The 23,276-nt window shown below is 41.8% G+C and overlaps 1 long non-coding RNA gene across 2 annotated transcripts; it reads left to right on the top strand.

Moving 5' to 3' along the window:
- Positions 1 to 4,746: 4,746 nt before the first annotated feature.
- LOC105379376 (uncharacterized) lies at positions 4,747 to 23,056 on the top strand. 2 transcript variants are annotated; one of them, XR_949674.2, is made up of 4 exons: positions 4,747 to 4,819; positions 4,966 to 5,117; positions 19,549 to 20,181; positions 22,873 to 23,056. It is a non-coding gene; the product is annotated as an uncharacterized LOC105379376 (long non-coding RNA). The 2 variants fall into 2 exon arrangements; XR_949673.2 differs by lacking the exon at positions 4,747 to 4,819 and having other exon boundaries at positions 4,826 to 5,117.
- The last annotated feature ends 220 nt before the right edge of the window (positions 23,057 to 23,276 follow it).

Genomic DNA, 23,276 nt, shown 5'->3' with positions numbered 1-23,276 from the left:
GTACTTAGGAGCCAATGTGAAATGAGTGGGCTGAGAAGGCTCTAAGGAACAGGATGGGGCTTGTGGTAGGGGTGACCTTGGCAGGATGTAGCAGGGCTGAAGATGGAAACCAGGGGGTGCGAGGATCCTGGGAGGAAGGAAGGGGAAGCCAACCTCCTCACAAGAGGCTGGTCTGTGCTGCAAGGGAAGAATTCCTGACTTTACTTATGCCATCTTATCATCATTAGGTATTAGATCCAAAGCTCTACTTCTTTGAATACGTATATTATGAATTCCATCCCCCATTCCTGCAATGACAGATTTGTCAGCTTCTGTGGATGTTGGCAACCAGGGAAAGCAGAGGAGAGAAGCCCTTTCATCAAGAGGCACGCCCCTGTGAAGCTCGCACTCACCTCATCACACATAAAACTTTTCCCATCAGCAGCACACTTTCTTCTCTTCCCCACCTTGTCTGCTGATCCCCTCTCCTGCCCAGTGACTCTCCTCCACCACCTAGACCGGAATGAAGGCTTCTTTCAGCAAAAGGGATTTTTCCACCTGGTTGACTTGATGAAAGCTTTATGAGTTGACATTATGTGGAAAAAGAACAAAGTGAAGTCAGAATGTGTGTGTGTGTGAAAGAGAGAGAGAAAAAGAGAAAGAGAGAGTGTTTGCAGGGGCAGAGGTTGCAGCAGCTAAAAAGAGCTGCTGAAAACTTTATTACAAACTAAGAGATGTTAGGAGCAATAAATCACTCATGTGTCTGCCATGAGGCACAGAAAACAGGGCTGGCTTTCAGGGAGAATTGGACGCGCAGGCACCTCCTCTGTTAACAGTGAGGGTCCAGTTGCCCCTTGAAGCAGGCGTGGGCATTGTTATGGACTTTTTCTTTTTCTATTTGTCTCTCTTTTCTTAACCCAAAGAATAAATAACGTCACTGGAAGAGCACAGAATTTTTAAAAAGGCCATTAGCCGCCTGGAAAGTTGAGGCTCCAGTTTTCCTTTGTCTCATGAAGGAAAGTTAAGAAATTAGGCATAAGGAACCAGTTTCCTCAATCAGATGTATGTGTCTCAATTTGTGTGCATGCGTGCATTCCCACGCGCGCGTGTGTGTGTGTGCATGCTTCTTCTTGGGTCTTCTTAATTTTCTTAAATAGGGAAGATAAATACTTAGCCCTTACATCATTGCCAGTCCCTTCCAAAGAAAAATGTATGCTCATTGAAGTGAAAAATAAGGAAAAATATAGAGAAGATGCCAAAAATCATCCACAACTCCCATCACCCAGAGATATCTACTGTGTCTTTATAACATGGATTTATATGTCCATAACAGTTGTAAATATAGTATTTGTACTTCTTCAAGAGTTGAGATTATTTTTGTGGCAGTCTCAGAGAAGTTTGTCCAGTTTCTTTCATCACCTCTTAGATGCCCTCTGGAGCCATAAAAAAAGGTAAATCACTCCGTGTTGGCTCAGGGTGGGTGATTCTTCATATGAACGATTTTAAAGGTGGCAACAGGGTTCGGTATTGGAAATTAGAAGATGTCGTTTGCAGCTATTGTGACCAGAACACTCTTGACCCAGCTAACTCCATGGAGAGAGGCCTTCAGGGAGAAAATCCATCAGCGCCAAGGATAAAGCTGAAGTTTCTGGAGAGTGTGGTTCATTTTCCTTTTGAAGGGGAATCATTATTATTACTACTACTCCTATTACTAATACCACCCCTGAGTCACCCTGTAATTGTTATTACAATAACAACTTTTACACTGCTTTAAAGTTAGGCAAAGTAAGACATAAAGAGGATTGGTTGCAAGGTCTTACTAGGTGCTAAACGCAAAGCCAGATCTTAGCCAGTTCTGTCTACAGAGCCAATGCTTCTTCTGCTACCCCCTGCCTTGTGGATTCACATATGACAACCTTTAAATCACATTCACTCATGTTATCTCTTTTAATTCCTATGAAATTTCTTTAAATTATGCATGACTTATCCTGGGTTCTGTCCGATAGGATTGCCTAAGAAGACATGTTACAAGAAGGGTTAAGGGTGAGTCAGTGACCTTGCATTTCATGGAAAGCTCTCTTCCAGTATTGTAAAAAGAAAAAAAGAAAGAAAATAAATAAATACATAAAAGGAAAGAAAAGAAAGAAAGAAAAGAAAAGAAAGAAGGGAGGGAGGGAAGGATGGAAGGAAGGAAGAAAGAAAGAAAGAAAGAAAAAGAAAACAAAGAAAGAAAGAAAAAGAAAAAAAAAGCAATGTGCTCAGACATCATGGTTATCTCCTAAAATTAGGCAGGTAAGGAAGCTGAATTGCTCCCTGCAAGGTTTATCCTAGGCTCCGCCAGCTCTCCCAATTCTTCAATAGAGGTAAATTAGGGAGAAACTCCCGGAAGAGCTCTCTTAACAGAAATCTTCACCATCACTTAACTCCCTGTCACCCTCCCTCCCATAATTACCAGCACAGCCAAATTGCCAAGCAAAGCTTTTCACAATCAACATACAAGACTCCCTCCCTCCTCCTCCAGCCTGTCAGGCTGCAGTGCTGTGTTAGCTATGCCTGCATTCGGCCTGTTCTTGGTCTCTGGGGCGCTACTCTCTGGGATGCATTTTGCAACATAAGCTATTCTCCTGCTCCATGAAGCAAAGCAAAGAATTAAAGACAAGCCTGAAATTAGAGCTACCGTGGCACTGGGATTCAGAGAATCATAAAATCATAGAATTTTGTTTTAGTTGAAAGGGGCCATAGAGATATTTTCAACCTGCTAATTTTACATAATAAGAAATGGGGAAGGGGGAGATGGAAAAAGGAGAATACTACAGAAATGTCCAGTACAGGTGGTGATGTTAAGTTTTAGATCATTAGTGGGTGACCAGGGTGGGAAAAATAAGAGGAAACATGTTAAGTCTTACTTAGAGTTTTCTAGTGAAAGTCTGAGTGTTTAATTCTCTCTGAAAGTGCTGTGACTTTGAAAAGGCTAAACATTTTTAGAAATATAATCTAAGTCACGTCATTTCCTTGCCCATCACATACCATTTTCCTCCAAATAAAGTGAGATGGCCAAATGCTTTCATTCTTTAGATGTGGGCAGAAAAGAAAAATGTCCCTTATGTCCCTGAATATCATAGCATATCAAGTTTGGCTCGTTTATTTGTGTTTTTAAGCAAAGCTGATAAAGTAAGAAAAATGCCCCGAGGGGCTCTTCTTTCTGATGTCTCCAAAGATGATAATAATAATAAAAAAAATCTGAGGAATCTGAGAATCAAATTTTTTCTCCCCTAGAATAAAGGACTCAAGTACCTTTCAGGGAATAAGAGTTGAAGTGAGAGTTGCATTATTTATTCCCCCAGATTTTAATTCTTTCACCTGACCAGGCCATGAAGGGCCTACCTCTTCAGAAACATCTCATTATCACCTGGAATTTTATTCCCTTTCTCCTTCTCAATCATCAATCAAGTTTCCAGGGGCCTTAGGGCATTAAGAACCATAGTTAGATCACTGAGGTTTTGAATGGTTTGCAAACTTGTATGTGTATGCACATTTTCCAAGAGGGTCCCTAGCCTCCAGCACCTTCTCAAAGGGGTGTGTGATCCTCAAAGTTATAAACAAAAAGCCTGGATTGTTAGGGCTGAAGGGGTCCTAGCTCACACCTTCCTGTATTCACTGACTAGAGATGTCATAACAAAGTTCTGCAGTGTGGGTGGGTTAAACAACAGAAACTCATTTTCTTACCATTCTGGAGGCTACAAATTAAAGACCAAGGTCTTGAAAGGGGAGGTTTCTTCTGAGGCCCCTCTCCTTGGCTTGCAGATGGCCCTCCCCTTATCTTCACATAGTCCTCCCTCTGTGCTTGTCTGGTTCCTAATTCCCTCTTCTTGTAAGGACATCAGTCATATCAGAATAAGGCCCACCCTGATGACCTCATTTAACCTTAATGATGTTTCTAAAGACCCTATATCCAAATAAAGTTGCATTCGGAGACACTGCAGGTGAGGACTTCAACATATGAATTTTAGGTGCAGGACACAATTCAGCCCATAACACCCTCTACTCCTTTCCTTATTGTGTGGGTAGAAAATTGAACCTTGGAAAGATTTGACAGTTGACCTTGAGGATATAGTAGAGCCAGCTTTTGAACCCAGGCCAAATCCCATGCTCCCATCTCTGTCTTCAAAACCCCTGACTTTTTTATTTTATTTTATTTTATTTTATTTTATTTTATTTTATTTTATTGAGACAGAGTCTTGCTCTGTTGCCCAGGCTGGAGTGCACTGGCACAATCTCAGGTCACTGCAGTCTCTACCTCCTGGGTTCAAGCAATTCTCGTGCCTTAGCCTCCCGAGTACTTGGGATTACAGGCGTGCACCACCATGCCCAGCTAAGTTTTGTATTTTTAGTAGAGATGGGGGTTTCATCATGTTGGCCAGGCTGGTCTTGAACTCCTGACCTCAAGTGATCCACCTGCTTCAGCCTCCCAAAGTGCTGGGATTACAGACATGAGCCACTGCGCCTGGCACAAAAACCATTTCTTTAAGGAGTTCACAGTTTCAGAAAGATAGCCTGACTCATAAAGTTCTCAGCAGCCATACACATTGCACAATGCGGTTCTATGTGCAATGCTGAAATGGGTAAGGGCTTGAGATTTATGGGGACACAGATGATGGAGCAATCACTTCTGCCACAGAGGGGCACAAGTTCAAAGTGCTCCTAAGAGTCCTAGTCCGTGGGCTCTCTCACTCCATAGGGAGGCCACGTGTAATGATGAAAAGAAAACTGGACAAGAAAACTGAAATTCATATTCCCGATACACAATACCCTGTGATTCCATTTTCTGGAGATGTTTGAGGTGGGGATGGGGCCAACAGAGGCAGGGACAAGACGGGCTCCTTCACCCAGTGGAGGTGGTTCCTTCCTTCGCTCAGGCCTCGCTGACAGGTCTCTGATTCTGTAGCCTGATTTCAGGAACTTATTCTTGGCTTTTGCTTTTCTCAGGGTAATGAGCTTTCAGCCTAGCACTTGCTAACACTAACAAATGAGGCCAATTGCAGCTCGCTGTGGATCACCTTTCAATAGTGGGTTGACAAGGAGAACAATGCATTTGTTTGCGGCTGTCGAGTCTTCAGGGAGGATCTGTCATCTCCGAGGTGAGTGTCAAAAGGGTTTCAGGCTTCCTGTGACTGTCAGAGGAGAGGACAGGAGGAAGGCGAGTTCAGGCCTGCTGACACTTCTAGGTGGAACTTGCAGCCACCTTGCCCTCTTCTGAGTTTCTGCAGGAATAAACTTTGTTCCAGTTAACGAGGCTTTTAATTATAATAATAGCATACTGCCAATTACTGGGTTTTCCCCCTAAAGAATAGTTCCCCTACACAACACATACGCATTCATGGCTGCATGATGGGAGAGGAATATCTTGGCTTCTATATATAGAAATATACATTTCTGCCTAAATAGAGCAATTGTTTTCACCTTCATTTCCCTGTTGGTATTTTCTGGGCTGCAGGTGGTCTCATGCCTCTTGGAAGATTTATACCAGCTATTTGGAAGGCAGTGAGCAGAACAAGGTGTTCACTGCCAAGTCTCTGGCGAGGCTGCCCTTCCATTAGCTGGATGACCAGGTGGGAGGCCTGGCAGGGGTCTCAATTATTAAGAAATTTACCCTGAAGCACTGGGCATAACCCACTGACAATAACAGTCCTCTGCATTTCTCAAAGGACAGGAACTTGATGGCATAGGCAAAGCTGTACAGACACCTGGGAAGGGACTTGGTTCACATAAAATTTCAACCTTCGATAATTTAACTATTATTGGCAACCCCCAGAGGGAGGCCACAGGGAGCAGTGCTGAAATGGAGCCTCTTGTTCATAGGACATCTGTTTTCTTATGATGCTCTGAAGTGATTGTGATATTATTTGTGAATTGGGTATTATGTCACAGTTCCCACTTTCAGACACAATTTCTATCAGGTTTCCCTATGACCTACTTTTTTGCAAGAGCATTAACTTGAGTGTCTCACAATTCCTATCCAGTTTGATAAGACTACCTGCTTATAACTCAGGGATGCATTCTTAAAAGAGAAACATTTAGAGAAAACAAAAAAGACCCTTTGAAATCATTTAAATTAACCCCATACTTCCCTTCTCATCTATACCTTTGTGAGATCACAATCCAAAATAAGGTTTTTCTTCCAGATTTGATTGAAAAAACCCTTACTATTCATGGATAAGAATGAAAGAGGAAAAAAATACCACAAAGACCTATGGAAAAGAACGATTAAAGACTGAAGGAGAAGAAACGTCATTTCTATGATTTGCTCCTGCACTTGGTTCCGAATTCTTTTTGGTAGCCCTTGACCTGCATTCCACAGTTCAATATATAGATTATTTATCCTGCAGGGGAGCTCCCCAGACTGAAGCTGTTGTGGTCCCATTAGTCAAGGGGTGAGAGTGCTCAAACTTTATCTCATGTTGTAAAAAAGCAGAATTCAAAATCTGCTGGGATTTTGAATCACTTTTTCTCCCTACACCTCACCAAAGATAGGACTACCCAAGTAGCATTTTATGTTTAAAAAACGATGTACTACAAAACTTCCTACCTCTGGCAATTGAGACACTGGTTAAAGGTTCTTTGTCTACTCTTTTCTGAAAGAACATTCAATTAAAAAGTCAAGAGACTGGCCTTGTGACCAGCTGACTTGCTATGATTTGAATAGCAATGAATGAAATGTGTCCCTCCAAATTTCTATGTTGAACCTAAGCACAAATGTGATAGTATTAAAAGGTGGGGCCTTTAGGAGTTGATTAGCTCTGAGGGGTCCAGCTTGATAGATGGGATTGGTGCCTTCTACAAGAGCTTGAGGGGGCAAATTTGCTTCTTCTACCCAATGAGGATGTTGTGGGAAAGCATTGACTGTGACAAATGGGTCTTCACCAGACACTGAATCTGCCAGAAACTTGATGTTGGACTTCCCAGACTCTTGGACTGTCAGAAATACACTTCTGTTGTTTATAAATTACCCAGTCTAAAGTATTTTGTTACAGCAGCCCTACTGGACGAAGTCATCACTGTAATGAAGATGTTAAATGGCTCAGAGTTTAAGAGTTTTCTCGTCTCAAAATCTTTATTAATTTCCCCCCGACTGGTACAATCCACCCATCTCCTCCACTCAATTCCAACTCTCCTTCTTTTGTTAAGTTGCCATGTGCTGTGCCCTTTCCCTGTAAGGCCTCTCCATTTGTTGTGAGTCCTTCCTCTTGGACGTGGACTACCTTCTACTCTGTATTGTTTGTGAACATGTGGCTGCATCTGTCCTGCTGGATAAGAAGCCACTGGTCACTGGCCCCTAAAGCCCCTCTGAGCATGTCGAGGAGGGAGAGTTTTCATGAGTGGCTTCATGGAGACTGGCATCTGAGGCATCTAGGGTGAGTGTGGTTCTTCCCTGTCAATCCTCATCCCTGGTGTCGTCCAAACAGCAGCAACAATTTTCTTCAACTCAAGATTACCATATTGCTCCTATTTATAAATAATAATAATAAACATCAGAAAGTGACTTTGTAATCAATAAGTCACTCTAGGATAACAAGCATCTTGGACACAATTGGTAGTACTAGTTGAGGGCCACAGCTATTTTTTGTGGGGAGGCGGGGAATAATGTAGAAAGGAGTAAAATTCCATTTTTATTAAATCTTGCAAAAAAGTCTAGGCATAGAAATGAAATTGGGATGCACGTTGAGGCAGGGGTAGAGATGAAAATAATTAGGATTGACATCTTCTCTGAGCTCTCACCTATCCCTTACCGATGCAAGTAACTTTTAAGGTAACCAACTACACAGGATTCCTGATTACTAGCCTGAGACGACTTCTGAAAGAATAAGATGTTTACAGTGCCATTTGGAGCTGTTGGCTTCTCTTAGAACTGAATGACCACCAGGGGCCTGGAGAACCTAAAGTCCAGTGACTTCTTACAAAATCTAGAACTTGCTGCTTTTGGGATTAGGTGGCTTGTCCTTGGACAGTGGTGGATACATTGATTTCTGTGCTGTGATTGTAAGCTGAGGCTATAGCCTGCTATAGGAAACCCTTCTGGTATTTTTCTAAGCTGTGCCGACTTTTCTTTTTGCAAAAGCAATGTTAATAATATGGCCAACCTATCCTACACAAGGTGGGTTGGCAAACTTTTTCTGTAAAGATCCAGATAGCAAATAATTAAAGCTTTCCAGGCCCACCATCTCTGTCGCAGCCACTCGACACTGCTGTTGTGGTGCAAAAGCAGCTGTAGACAATATATAAACACATGAGGGACACTATATTCCAATAAAACTTTATTTATAAATACTGGCATACATTTCACAACATTTCCAAGGGTCATCACATAGTTTTGTTTTGATTTTTGTACCAACCATTTTAAAATACAAAAACACTCTTTGCAAGTTGTCTGTACAAAAATTAGGCAATTGGCCAGGTTAGCCTCTGGGCCATGGTGACGGACCCCTGCTTTACAGGAAAACTATTTACCATGGAAACCTGTTCCTTCAAGTGCTGGGTGCTCACACTGACCCTCACTCTGACAGTTGAATTAGGGTGTCTCTTCAAATCCGTGAAACTAAATAAATGAGGGCAGGCCCCTCTTACCATCCAGAATGCAGCGTGTGTACACCAGTGTTATTTCACGTATCAGATTTCTGCATGGAAAACATTGGAAAACACTGTCACGCCATTAATAATCTTCAGAGGAACACCTTGAAACTTGACTCGCTGAGGGCACGTTGCAAATGGGCTCTAATGGCTTTTATTTCTCATTCTTGTCACCTCAGATCTAATCAGCTGTTTTGTCATTTTTAATTCCTACTTGGCAGGATTCTCCAACTTCTCTAGCCTTTCAGATAAAGGCTCAGAGGAGAGCCTGAGGCTCTTAGGACTGGGAAGCAGAGCAGAGATATTAGGCAGCGTGGATGGTGGCCTTCTAATTTGGCTGATTCGGGAGGAGTTGGGAGGCAACCACATCCTCAAATGACCCCTGCCCCTACCTTCCACCTCTCTATGGGGGCTCATCCCTGTTCTGAAATTTGGGGACAGGATCTTTCAATTCTCCATTAGGAATAAGTTTCAAATCTCATATTGTTCTACATTGGTTGGGAAGAAGAAAAAGCACTGAATTAGAGACCTCTAACATGTTTCCTTTTTTTTTGGCTTTTTTTTTCTTTTTGAGGCAGTCTTACTCACTCTGTCACCCAGGCTGGAGTGCAGTGGCGCCATCTCAGCTCACTGCAACCTTCGCCTCGTGGGTTTAAGCAATTCTCCTACCTCAGCCTGCTGAGTAGCTGGGACTACAGGCGTGCACCACCACGCCCGGCTAATTTTTGTATTTTTAGTAGAGACGGGGTTTCAACATATTGGCCAGACTGGGTGTGAACTCCTGGCCTCAAGTAATCCACTTGCCTCGGCCTCCCAAAGTGCTGGGATTACAGGCATGAGCCACCATGCCCGGCTGAAAATGTGTAGTTTTTTCTTACGCAGAGCACTTGAGCTCCGGTCCAGCTCCCACAAACCTGAATTTCTATGCCCATCTGGCTGTGAGCAGCCAAAGCACCACTTTTGACTAAGACCTTACTTTCCATGGATTGTGAATGATGAAAACAATTCAATTACATCACTGTAAATGATGTAAGGGATTGTGAATGATGAAAATAAATTTCTTAAATAAATATAAAATTATAATTTAATACAAGATCCTTTCAAATAAATAAATAATGAATAAATAAAACTAATAAGAGCTAAATGGTTTTTACTGTTTATCACGTCCCAGGCATGATGCTAAGCATCTTTCTTATATTAGCTCATTTCATCTTCAGAATACTTATTGTTTTCATTGTACAGATCAGAAAAAGAAACTCAGAATAAAGCATGTAGTTTCTCGAGGTCCACAGCTGGTAAGTAGCAGAAGTGCTTTACAATATGCAGATTCATATGGCTTCAGAGTGTATGATCTTCACAACCCCTTAGGTGGCTGTGTGTCTTTGCCAAATCATCTTACCTCTCTAAGCCTCCATGTCCTTAGCTCAGAAATGAAGTTTCAGACTATAAAATCGCCAACCTCACTTCCGAGTCAAAATTCTAAATCTACAATTTTCACCCTTCTCTTTTCAGGAGGGGTACAAAACTAAATATGTAAGTTCATATGGTAACTTAGTGAAAAAAAAAAAACCTAAATTTTCAGGCTATGACACTTTAAGTCAGTGTTTATTTAGTAAAAACTCTTACACCCTCTTTGCATAAACTGGAATACCATCGAGACCATCGAGCAGTAATAAATAATGAGCACTCATGCTCTGCTAGATGTGGGAAAGAGACAACATGGGGACCCGCTTTGATCTCTCCTTGCAGAAGCTTGTAAACGATCCCGAAGGGTACACATAAATCAGAGCAAAGAGGTTTTCAATAAAAAATTCAAGATTCTGAATTATTTAAAAAAGCATTATGCTTATTACACTGTATTTATTAAGTCAGAAAAATAGTTGCTACCAAGATTTTTCAGGAGGAGTTGAAGCTCTAGGTGTTTAGGAGTTTAGCAGAAACTTGTTTGATGAATTATTTAAACATGAGCATTTCTGTTTAATTCTGTAATCTAAAGTAACCAATTAACTAAAGTTCCCCATTCCTGGAGTGTTCCAATATTAAGTGTCAGAGATCGAGGGAAGGATCAGGGCTGGAATAATAAAACCCAAAGCCCTCCCCTGAACATTTCCAATTTTAAGGACAAAAGACTGGAGCAATTGCTTTTAAACCAATTAAAACCAGAAATCTGGAGTCCATCCCAGCAGGGACATGGGGAATAGGTGGAAGATGAAATCTCTAAATCAAACCCAGTGATGTTATCCAATCAGCTCACAGGGAGAAACCACTACCAACCTTCCCAAAGGATATAAGCCATGACATTATTTTTTTTAAGTCAAGAGTTAAGTAGCCAGCAGAAGACTGCTTTCCCTCCCTGTCTAACAGGCCCTAGCGAATGACCTGTTCCTAACTTCATTTATGTGCCTCATTTTGGTCTTTCAAATATTGATTTTTAAAATATTCTTCAGGAGAAAGCCACTTGGGGACCTTTAAGTTGGGGTTCACAAATGATGCATACCCAGAGGTGTTTATTGCAGGATGGAAATATAGACTTTTTCCCTCTTCTCATTTCCCTCCACCTAAGTATCTCTTTATTCATTACTTTAATTACCTAATTGTAAATTTCTTTAGGGGGTTACTTAGAAAGAAAATTAGCATCAAAGCTTGGCAGTAAATTCAGGGGCTTTTGGAGACAGTCCAATCTGTTTCACCTGTGATTAATTAGATGATTTTTTTTCCTTTAAGTGCCAGAAGGCTGTTGAGGTCTTTAAGCAGTTACATGACTGCCGGCGGTGCTGCAATTATGATTGATGCATGCGTCTGGAGTCTGAGGCTGCAGCCTGGCTTTTGTTGGCGGGGTGTGTGTGTGTGTGTGTGTGTGTGTATGTATGCGGGCATGCGTGTCAGACTGAGGGACAGAGACAGACTTGGGTAGCTAGAGCTTGGAAAAACTCCAAGGGTTTTAAAAACAGTGAGGTGTCTCTTTAATATTCTTATAAGTGCATGTCTTCTAGAAGCTCGAAGCCAGAATCTCCTATGAAAATATTTCAGCCATTTTAGAAATGTTGGTTTAGTAGGCCTCTTCCTAACCATTGGTTATTGTGGAGTCTAGCTCTCTTTATGGGCAGATACACTAAGGAAGGCATATTTCCAACAATTCTTTTGCTACATATAAAGCAGAATAGCCAAGCCAATTTTTTTTTAAAGATGGGGTCTTGCATGTTGCCCAGACTGGAGTGCAGTGACTATTCACAGGAACAATCCTTGCACACTACAGCCTAGAGTTTGAGTTCAAGGGATCCTCATGCCTCAGCCTCCAGAGTAGCTAGGACTACAGGTGTGTGCCACCACACCTACTTCAAACATTCAAAGAGTCCATGTCTCTGTAACATTTCACATGCTGAAAAACAAGAGAGAAGAAAGTGGTCTCTACTTCGTTGGGAGTAAAATTATCCCCAAACTCTAGCAATAAAGTCAAAGCCACCTCTTGATAAATTTGGGAAAAACGCAAATACTGCTCATCACAATAAACATGCATTCAAGGATACAATATAGAAAATTGGTGATTGTTTTATTACTAGTTTCAGTTTATCATTTTTCCTTTACTCTTTATGTGGAGGAAAGAATTCTGAAAACCATTTGACTCATTCATGGTAGCAGGAAGTTTCAAAGTTTTTGCCAACTTTTGCTGAAGTCTTTATGAACTTCTAAACCCCTAGAAATTGAGGTTATTCATTACCTAACATATATTCCTTTACCTGTCCATAGGATCCCATAGGGTAAATGCACTTGCTAGCAATGATTTAAGCAGACTCTTAGAATGACCTTGTAGGGCAGATGCACCTGAATGTGTGTTCTGAGCTAGGGAATGTGGGTGTGGCCAATCCAGAGATTTGTTCCTTATTTATGATAAACATCCGAGCCCCGAGCCTGTCCTGTGGAACACAGGCCATGCAGGGGATTGAGGTCCCCAGTTTTGGGTTAAATAAAGATGGCCAGCTAGAGGCCTTTGGGTGGAGGATGTGAAGTAAAAATGCCATAGAAACTGCATGATGTTTGCAGGTGGCCATGGTTTTCCTGGCCAGCCTGCTGTCCCCGGACTGTAGGAGGTGGATCTCTCGTCCAGTCTGCTACCACTGGACTCTTTCTCCTGTATATAAACCCCAAATAAAATCCCATGTCTCTGAGTCTCTTCTTGAGCCTCTCAAACCTGGTGCCTTCCCTATTGAGGTTAATAGGGGTCTGACACAACACAGCTATGAATTATTTATTTTTTGAGACAGAGTCTCTCTCTGTTGCCCAGGCTGGAGTGCAGTGGCACAATCTCGGCTCACTGCAACCTCCGTCTCCCAGGTTTAAGTGATTTCTGGCTAATTTTTGTATTTTTAGTAGAGACGGGATTTCACTGTGTTGACCAGGCTGGTCTTAAACTCCTGACTTTAAATGATCCACCCACCTCGGCCCCACAAAGTGCTAGGATTAGAAGCATGAGCCACCACGCCCAGCCCCTATGACTATATTTAAACAATAAATTAAATATCTGGGGTTCGCCTGTCTTCTGAGGATGAACAGAAATGTCTGTCACATGGGTTCCTTACAGAGATTTCTGCCATCCTGGTCAGTGCAGCCTAGAGTAGGGGCTGGCAAACTCTCTCTGTAAAGCAGGGCCAGAGAGTAACTATTTTAGGCTTGTGGGCTGTTAGGTCTTTGTTGCAAATTATCTGCTCCGCTATGGAAGTGTGGAAACGGCCATGAGGAATGGGTAAAGAATGGATATGGTTGTGTGCCAATGAAAGTTGTTTGCTGATCCTTGGCCTAGAGCACTGCTTCTCAGACTTTAATGAGCATATGAAACACCTGGAGAGCTTGTTAAACTGTAGACTCCTATTCATCAGGTCAGGAGTGAGCCTGAGGCCTGCCTACCTAGGACATTGCTAGATGATGGTGGTGCCACTGGTCCACAGATCTCACTCTGTCACCCAGACTGGAGTGCAATGGCACGATCTCAACTCACTGCAACCTCTGCCTCCCAAGTTCAAGCAATTCTCCTGCCTCAGCCTCCCAAGTAGCTGGGATTACAGGTGCCTACCACCACGCCTGGCTATTTTTTTTTTTTTTTGTATTTTTATTAGAGACGGGGTTTCGCCATGTTGGCCAGGCTGGTCTTGAACTCCTGACCTCAGGTGATCCACCCGCCTCAGCTTCCCAAAGTGCTGGGATTACAGGCGTGAGCCACCACCCCCGGCCTGGTTCTTCCCTTTTATATCCAGGGCATTCCGCATAACATCAAGGCTCAGAGAATAGACACGGGCTCTTTGTTCATCAGAAATATTGCTGTAGGACAATGTTCTTCAAATCTATGATCTTCAAACTTTCCTCTAGCACTTCACCCCTTGGGGAGCACCCAGATTTCCCTCTCCTGAATGTCACCTTCCTTTTGTCACCTTTAAGATTGGTCGTTGAGGGTCTTGCACTCCTAAATGGACAGATGGCTCCGGCCGTGGTGCAGCTGCACACACATCTCATCAAAGCCCTTCACGCCAGCTCTGCTCCCTAACTGCTGCCCTTCCCCGCCTCAGTGTGCAGGGCTCTAATGACTGAGCAGAGGGCCCTCTGGCCCCTGCCTAATTGGCTGCAATGCAACAGCTAATGTAGGTTGAGAGACCAATTAACTGGGCTTGTATCTACCAACGCTGCATCTGAACATCAATTATGCTAAACAACACGCTCTATTAAGACATTTCCCTGCCACTGTCATTTGCTATGGGACATTTCAGAGCAAAGCAGAGAGAAGCTGCTTCTTGTTGACTGCCTGAAGGGTTTCTCTCTCTCATTGTTACAGAGGGCTGGCAGTTGGGAGTGTGATTTTAGAACTAGAAAAACCACAAAGCATGGTCTCTAGACCATGGGGATTAAGGTCCAAGAAACCAGAGAATAGGCTGGATGAGAGATTCTGGTAATGATTGGACCATTCCATTTAGAAATGGAAAATGCCAAGCACTGGAATTTTCAAAGGATCCTTTACCTAAAACTTACACAATAATGACAGAAAGTTGTTGGGAAGAAGAAGATTGTATTTTCTTCTAAAGGTTTAGCTAGTTTTGAATTTCATTCCCCATCATTTCATCTCATCTCAAGCTCCTCCCTTGGAAGGCACTTCTTGATTTCTCACATTCACACTTTGGTCCTTATGTAGCTCAATTTTATTTATTTATTTATTTATTTATTTAGAGATAGGGTCTCACTCCATTGCCCAGGCTGGAGTGCAATGGTGCAATCACGGCTCACTGCTGCCTCAAACTTCCAGGCTCAAGCCATCCTTCCACTTCAGCCTCCCAAGTAGCTGGGACCACAGATGTGCACCACCACTTCTGGCTAATTAAAGAAAAAAAATTATAGAGGTGGGGTCTTGCCATGTTGCTCAGGCTGGCCTCAAACTCCTGAGCTCAAACTATCCTCCTGCCTCCTTGGCCTCCCAAAATGCAGAGATTACAGGTGTCAGCCACTGCACCCGACCTTTGATTCATTTTAATGTGTCATTATTGTGTAGTTCCTTTGTACCAAACATGCTGAGCAATCCAACCAAGTTTAAGACACAATCCCCACCCTGGAGTTAACAGTTTAGCTGGAAAGACTGGACTAATTTAGACATCTACTTCTTAATCATTCATCCATTCAACAAACACTTGTTTATCATTCATTATATTTCAGGTGCTTTGCTAGGCTAGACACACTGTTCCTTCCCTATCTAGGGTTACTGCTATACGGAAAGCAGGTGATCAAATAAGCACTAGTAATGCCGTGTGAGCCATGCTATTATGACTGTGACAGTACAGCTACTAAGGGAGATACAAAATAGACAAAACACAACAGTACAATAAAATCATGTATAGGCATTATACCATTAAAATGTAACGTAGGTTTAAAGCAGAGTGTTATGCCCTGTTCTATTCCCTACAGTGTTTATTTCAAACTTCTACCCCTCTACTTAAACTTTTTCATACTTCAAGAGACAACTGAGATTATCAAGCTTAAACACCCTCAATCTCCAGCCATTGAAAAGCTGTTCATATTTGCATTTATTTTCACGCCCTCCTTCAGGTCTTGTAGGAAGAGCTGTTATTTATCTTGTTTAAGGCCATTCCCTCCGCCTGTACCCTTGACTGACAATGCTCCTATGACCCCAAGGACCCTGTTGCACCTGGGATTCCCTTTCTCCTTCCCAAATGGGCAAGTCCATCTGGATTGGCTCCTTCTTCATATCATAAAATTATGATCAAGCATGTTGTCCATCTTAAAGTCCTCCCCTGATCCTACACCTCCTTTTCTTTTCTTACCATCCAAGCCTACAAATTCTTGCTTCTTGACTTGTTTTCCATCTGTCCACCTCCCAGTTTTCCTTCTTCAAACAAACTGCAGTTTGGCTCCTTCTCTCCCTGCACTCCACAGAAACTGCTCTGGCAAAAGGCCCCCGCGATCTTCTTGCAGCTACACCAATCCTACTCTTCGTTGAACTGCATCTTCCTTGACCCTGACCCGGCATTTTGTATCCATGGCCATCCAATCCTCTAACTCCCTTTGCTTGTCTTCCAGTTCTCCTCCTCCTCCACTGGCCAATCCTTCTGTCCTTTGCTGACTCATTTCTTTGTGTGCCCTCTAAACATCATGTTTCCATGTTTCTTCTTTGGACGTCTTTTCACTTCATATTCTCCCCCAGTGATTCCCTCTAATCACCTGCTGTCAATTTCCCACCATCTTCTGACTTTGAAAATGAAGTTTGGTTAAGAGCCTCAGCCTCCTCTACCTACTGCTCAGGCATCTCAACTTGCTTTAAACCTAAGCCACCAATTTTCCACCAAAATATGCTACTCCTGTGTACCCTGTCATAGTGAATAGCAAGATCACTTGAAACTTGAATGTTTTTTTTTTTCACTTTGACACTCAATCAACCAATAAGTCCTATCATCTCTGTTTCACTAACATCTATTATATTTGTCCTCTCTACTTTATTCCTTCTGCTCCTGCATTAGTTCAAGACTCATTACCCTTTATTTGGACAAGGACAATTAGATTATCTTCTAGCTTTCTTGCCTCTGATATTATCTGTGATTTTACACCCTTTCAGTCTATCCAATACATTAAAGCCAGGATTGCCTTTCTAAAGTACAAATCTGGTCTTAAACAAAAGCACACTCAAAAGTTTTTGTGGCTGGTCACTTCCTAACATGGTTGTCACCTTAAAGGAGAGGTTCGCTCAAGTGTTTGCAGGGAAGGCTGGGGAAAGAAGGCAATTTGGGCTTTGAAGCGTAGACATCCTTTTTCTGCCCCCAGCCCCTAGCTTAGTATTGTGCTGGCAAATGTTTAACAACCAGCTCCCCAAAAGTGAAAAGAAAAACCTCCCACAAAATCCTTATTTGTAGATTTGGCTAGTTTCTATAATACAGACACTCCCACGATGACCAATTTCAAGCTACCAGCATCATGAGATTTTGGAAGAAATGTGAAGTCAGCTCTAGTGCACCACTGACTCCACCTCCTTGACCATACCAGGGCCTCAGCCAGAAAGACTCTGCCTTTATCTGTCGCATACATACTTGGCTTCCTCGTGAGCCAGGGATGGAAGATAGGTGTTAAGTCATGAAAACTCTGATCAATTGTTAATAGCTGTCTAGAGGACTCCAATGAAGAATTTCTTAAATTGCCTCCAGGCTCAGGGAGTAGAGTGCTATGATCAATTAGTAATGTCTGCCATGGGCATGGAAAGCTACAGTAGCTGCCTATGCTACATATTTTTACTCTGGCTGCTATAAGTGCTAATGGGAATTCAAGAGTAATTAAACAACTAGAATATAGTTTGAAAACATACAAAACAAAGCCAGAGCTCACTAGCATAAAGTACAAAGTCCTCCATACTGGCCTAGGCATAATTTGGCCTTAACTTTTTCTACCCTCCCCCAACACTCTAAGCCTTAATCATACTGAAGAACTTGATGAGCGCTGAATACACACCATGGTTTTCCACAACTCTGTGCCTGTTCTCACCCTCCTAAGACTGCTTTGGGTGTGCCCTTTCATATTCTTCCTGTGTGAAGAATACCCACATGAATGATCCCCAGAAAAATCTCTTGAGTTATCTGGATGCTCTAAGCTGTTTAGCTTTTAATAAGGACCTTTCCCTTTGCTCACCAAACTCTCACCTAAACTAGTTGAAGCCTGTAAGTCTTACGATTTAAGCAAGAGAATGCAATGTTGTAATAGTTCAGTAGCTTCATTGCAAATGCCCTGTGGTTTGGGAGGACTTGTGGATTATCTGCTTAAATGTGAGTGGCCTGCAAATGCCCTGGCTGCTCTTATCAAGAGCCATGATGAGACTTCTGTTGGCCCCTTGAAATAAGTATGCTGGTCTTCTCTGAACACGCATAGACACATAACAGGACTACACTCTGGCCTGTGCTGTTCTTCTTTCTTCTCATCTGGAGAGATGGACTCCCAGTTCCCTCTTGGCTGAAACTCTGAACCTCTGGGATCGGTATGTGTTGGGCCCTGCCTGCAGGGGTGAAAGCAAATTCCGCATCAGCACCAGGGGACTCTCCTTCCTTCCCACAGGGGCCAGAGAGGTGACAATTGACAATAAAGTTTGCTTTCGCTTTGTACATATATGGCAAGTCTGTGTTCTCTCTGTAAGGGCGCATTTGGAAGCTCTTAGTTCTATCTTCTGAACTTTATTACTAGTTTTTTAAAATATTTAATTGACAAATAAAGATTGCTTATAAACGAGGCATACAATGTGATTCTTCTATATATGTATCCATTGTGTAGTAATTATTACACTCGAATTAATTAACATGTCCATCACCACCATGCTGTACGTTAGATTCCTTGAACTTGTTCATCTTACAACTTAAAGTTTAGACCATTTGACCAACATGCCCTGACTTCCCCCATCTCCTACCACCTAATAACCACCCTCCTACTCTTTGCTTCCATGACTTTTTTAGATTTCACATTTAAGTGAGATCATATACTTTGCCTCGCTTATTTCACTTAGCATAATCACCTCCAGGTTCATTTTTGTGGTTGCAAATGGTAGGATTTCCTTCTTTTTAAGGCTGAATAATATTTCATTATTTTCTCTGTGCATTCACAGATTATTTGTTTTTAATCAGACTATACTCACTTATGTTCATCCATAAAATGGGAGTAAGGGCAATTTAGTTAATTTTTGTGGTTGTTTTGTGAACGCAGAAGACACCACCTGTAAGTACTTAACACAGAGACCAGGACACAGTAACTGCTTTAAAATACAATTGTAACAATAAAAATCATAACCATTAGCATCCTTCAGAATTCACTTACATGAAGGCTTTCTTTACCATCTTATTTAGAATTGGCTTCTCCCTTCTTTGTGCATCTGAAGAACACAGTACAGAGATTTCGCCATGGTAATTATTATTTAAAGTATTAACATTTATTAAGAACTGACTAAATGCCCAAATCATGCTAAGGATCACATGTATGATCCTATTTTGTCCTCATTACAGATGTATGAAGTAACAAAACTGGAGGTACCGAAGGGCTAAGTAGGTAAAGACACCCAGTGAATAGATGGAAAGGTGGAATTTGGAGGAAAGAAGTCCCTGTTTCTACAGCCCATACTTTTAAGCACTATGCATTGCTACCTCCTCTTTGCATTGTGCTTGTTTTTGCAGACTGCTTCTCCACTATGAGCTGGGAGCTACTTGAGGTGAGATAGCTTTTTTCCTCTTTATAACAAGAGTTTTAGCATCTTGTGCCAAGCCTGGCATCATTCATAGAGGCTGAGGTAGAATAGAGGAATTAGAAAGGAGGACATTTTGTTACGAAGCCAATACTGTTCAACAATGGAGAGTGTTTACACCTTTAAAATGTTTGACACCTTCCTTATTTGATGTTCTCTTCTTTAGACTGTCTCTGATCCGTTTTCAGGTGGCCACTGACAGATGAGATACCTCATCTGAAGAAAGAGAACAAGAGCTGTGGGCTGGAAAGACGGAAGCTCCAATGTTTCCCTGGCCACCTCTGGTCCACTGTAGGGGAGGCTTTGCACAAGCCCCACCTGGAACCGGCAGAGCCTGGATGGACACAGGTCTTGCTGTGAACTGCACTGGGCTTCAGGAAGAGGCCATGCTGGGCAGAAACTCGATGCTAATTAATGAGATGCCTGGGCTCTGTAATCAGAAGATGAAGGGGAGCCAGTGATCTCAGTAACACTAGGCAGTTGCTTGTGCAAATGCCCATTTTTCCATACAGAGGACAGGGAGGTGCAATAAAGGGCTCCTCTTGGTCCTGGGCTGACCCACCAGCATGCTGATGTCCTCTGGCCAGCTTGCCTGGAAGTAGCCTTCCCTGATGACACTGCCTCTGTTCTCCAAAGCAATACATACAACTTTTTTATTACTGTGACCAAATGGATTACTCCTTTCTGCACAAGAATGTATGTCATTGTCAACATCAAAAACTTCCCTGCTTTACCCTGACAGCACATGCCTTATTGATCAGGTGCCTCTGAACAACTCACTTACACAAAGCACTTAAACCTGTATGACTTCAAAAAGTAAGGTAAGACAAGCCACATTGAGCAGTATAGCACACACCTAATATGATTATTTCTCTTCTTCTTGGTGATAATAGAATTATGCAAAAACGGCCTTGACCCAGTAAGCATTTGCTCTTCAGAATCAAATCTCTGCTCTCCCTTGACTTACAATTCCCCCCACCCTCCCACCCTCCTTGCTTCTGAGTCCCTCAACATGGCAGCACTCATTTTTGTACCATCTGCTAAGGCAAAAGTTTTCTGAACTGTCAAGTACAACAAAACAATGAAACATGCGGCTCTACTTATCTAGGAAGTAACTGATGAAGAACAATCTCCATTTTCATTTGTTAATTCATTCTGCAATGTTTATTGATCATCTCCCACATGACTGTGTAAGTCAGATTGAGTAGCTACATTTAATTTAATGAATGAGACTTATGACAACTGTCTCAGGACTCCTCATTTCTTACTTTCCCCAAGTTGTGTGGATCTTGGGAAGAGGCAGGCCCTGCCACTGGTGTTAGTTACAGTAGTCAGTAACAGCTGATTGACAGTGGCCAAAAGAGAGCCCTTGGAGGGATGACCCAGAAGAGTTTTCAAGAGCTTACCAGTGGCCGGGCACAGTGGTTCTTGCCTGTAATCCCAGAACTTTGGGAGGCCAAGGCAGGCAGATCACCTGAGGTCAGGAGTTCAAGACCAGCCTAGCCAACATGGTGAAACCCCATCTCTACTAAAAATACAAAAAAACTAGCCAGGCATGGTGGCACATACCTGTAATCCCAGCTACTCTGGAGGGTGAGGCAGGAGAATCGTTTGAATCCAGGAGGTGGAGGTTGCAGTGAGCTAAGGCTGTGCTATCGCACTCCGGCCTGGGCAACAAGAGTGAAACTCTGTGAAAATAAAAACAAAAAACTAGCTCCAGGCATGTGGCCTGCACTTTTCCCATATGTGCCAGGCCAGGTAGATTATGCCCACACTTTACAAGCACCTTGCAAGAGAGGCATATTGGCAGCCTTTCTCAGGTAGGAAAAATGAGATTTGCAGAGAGTAGGTTACTTCCTCAAATTCATGCCCCATAAAGCAACAGAGGCAAACCTGGAGCCTGGGCCTCTCTGATATTACAACTAGCTTCTTTTCTTCATCTTCCATTTTACCCATTTCTGGTACTCAGATTTTTATCACCTCAATAGGAAGGTGATGTTTTCCAAGTGGGGTTAGATGAGGTTATTTGGGTTTGGGATTATTAACAGACAATAATAAAATGGCCATACAGTGAGGAGAATATTTGGGAATTGTTGGAATGACTTAAGAAAGTAGGAGATTCTATTAACTGTGGAATTTTAATAATATGCTCTAAACACATGGATTAATAAAGGGCATACGTTCTGAAGAATATCTTCAAAAGGATAATTCTTTTTAGACTTCTTGGAATACTAATTTTTTGGCAGAAGGCTAGTAAGATTTCCTTTGAGTCGTGGATCAGAACCCCATGAGTGAAGATTCCCAGATGGAGTATCTTTGATAGCAACAAAATAATGAGCTGCTATTATCCTGAACAGTTTCTGCTCATGTTTTCAGTGGTATAAAACTTCAGGACACATGTTCTGACAAAGAATTTATAAATTTATGGGTGAATTAATTGAGAATTTGTAAAACTATGAAAAGCGCTCTTTTGGTATGAAACCCCACATTTATTATTCATTCATTCAACTAATATCTATTTAGCATCTAATATGTACAAAGCACTCTTCTAAATGTCAATAATACAGTAGCAAATGGGACAAATGAGTCTTTTACAGAATCCTACCTAAAACAAACTCAATTAAAACTTAAAACAAGAACTGTTAGGAGGCCAGGAAAATTGCCCAGTTGTGAAGTGAAGAACTTGAGTAAACTAAGAGATAGCAATTTAATAGAGAGACAATGAGTTTACAGAACCAGAATATGTTTGAGAAATAGAAGTGACAGATTTGCTAATAGATTGGATATGGATATAAGGAAAGGAGAGGATAAGACCTTTCTCCTTTGGCCTGAGAAATTTGGTACATGAGGGTGGAGTTAACTAAGACACAGAGTAACAGAGAAGATGAAGCCTGGGGCCCAGGGAATGGTGGAATTCATTGTTTTTCCTTGACCATATTGAATTTCAGATGCACCCAACATTAAGATGCTGATGTTGACATTAATAGACACATGGAACTCAGTGGGAAATGTAAGAGCTGAAATATAAATTTTAGAGTCATTTGCATTTAGAAGATACTTAAAATTATGGACTTGGATGATATCACCAAGTAAGACAGTAAACATGGAGAAGAGGAGTCAGCCTTGGTCTGATCCATGGAACATTCCAACTCCAGAGGTTAGATAATGGGATCTACCCAATATGTCTGGGAAGGAGTGACCAGTGAGAAAGGAAGAAAATCAGAAAAGTGAGATATCATGAAAGTGGGCAAAGCAAGAGTTTTCAGGAGACAATGATCATGGATGTTTCTTTGGAAAAAGCCCAGGGCTTATTGAGTATGCGTTTTGTAGATTTATTGCCAAAGTAAAACTTATTTTAAGGCTATTTCAGGGTCCAAAACAACACAATTTCAGAGATTTATTCAGCTGAGATAAGTAGTTGCCTGCTTGTATTTTACGAGAATGAGGGTGACCTCACAAGAAGTATTAATAGCAATCAAATATCTGTTCATTCTATTTCCATTTTTCAATAGAATAATCATCAGGTGAAAGCAGATTTTAATCGTGACTCTAGATAGCATTGTGCTGATTGGACTCTCATCACCCGACTCTGAGTCAACTGATGTCCTTGCTTGGAGGTTCAAGCACCAAGTGCAGGTAAAATCCATGTGTAAAATCAATTGACCACTCAGAAGAATTGTTAAACTATTAAGGTGATTGGTCTTTGCTGTTTAAAATAACTATCAACAAGGAATTTTATAATCATAAAGATTCACTTCAATAATAACGATGAGAGATATATTTACACAGATCTAAAAACTGAGAGAATTTATCACCAGAAAATTGCTACAAAAATTTCTTAAGCAATTCTGAAAGAAGAAACATTATTACAGGAAAATGTTTTGAGATGCAAGATGAGGTGGTACAGATAAAGTAA

Source organism: Homo sapiens, chromosome 8, assembly GCF_000001405.40.
Source record: "Homo sapiens chromosome 8, GRCh38.p14 Primary Assembly".
Lineage (NCBI taxonomy): Eukaryota > Metazoa > Chordata > Mammalia > Primates > Hominidae > Homo > Homo sapiens.
Note: the sequence above shows the minus strand (reverse complement) of the source record. Positions and strands in the feature narration are given on the sequence as shown.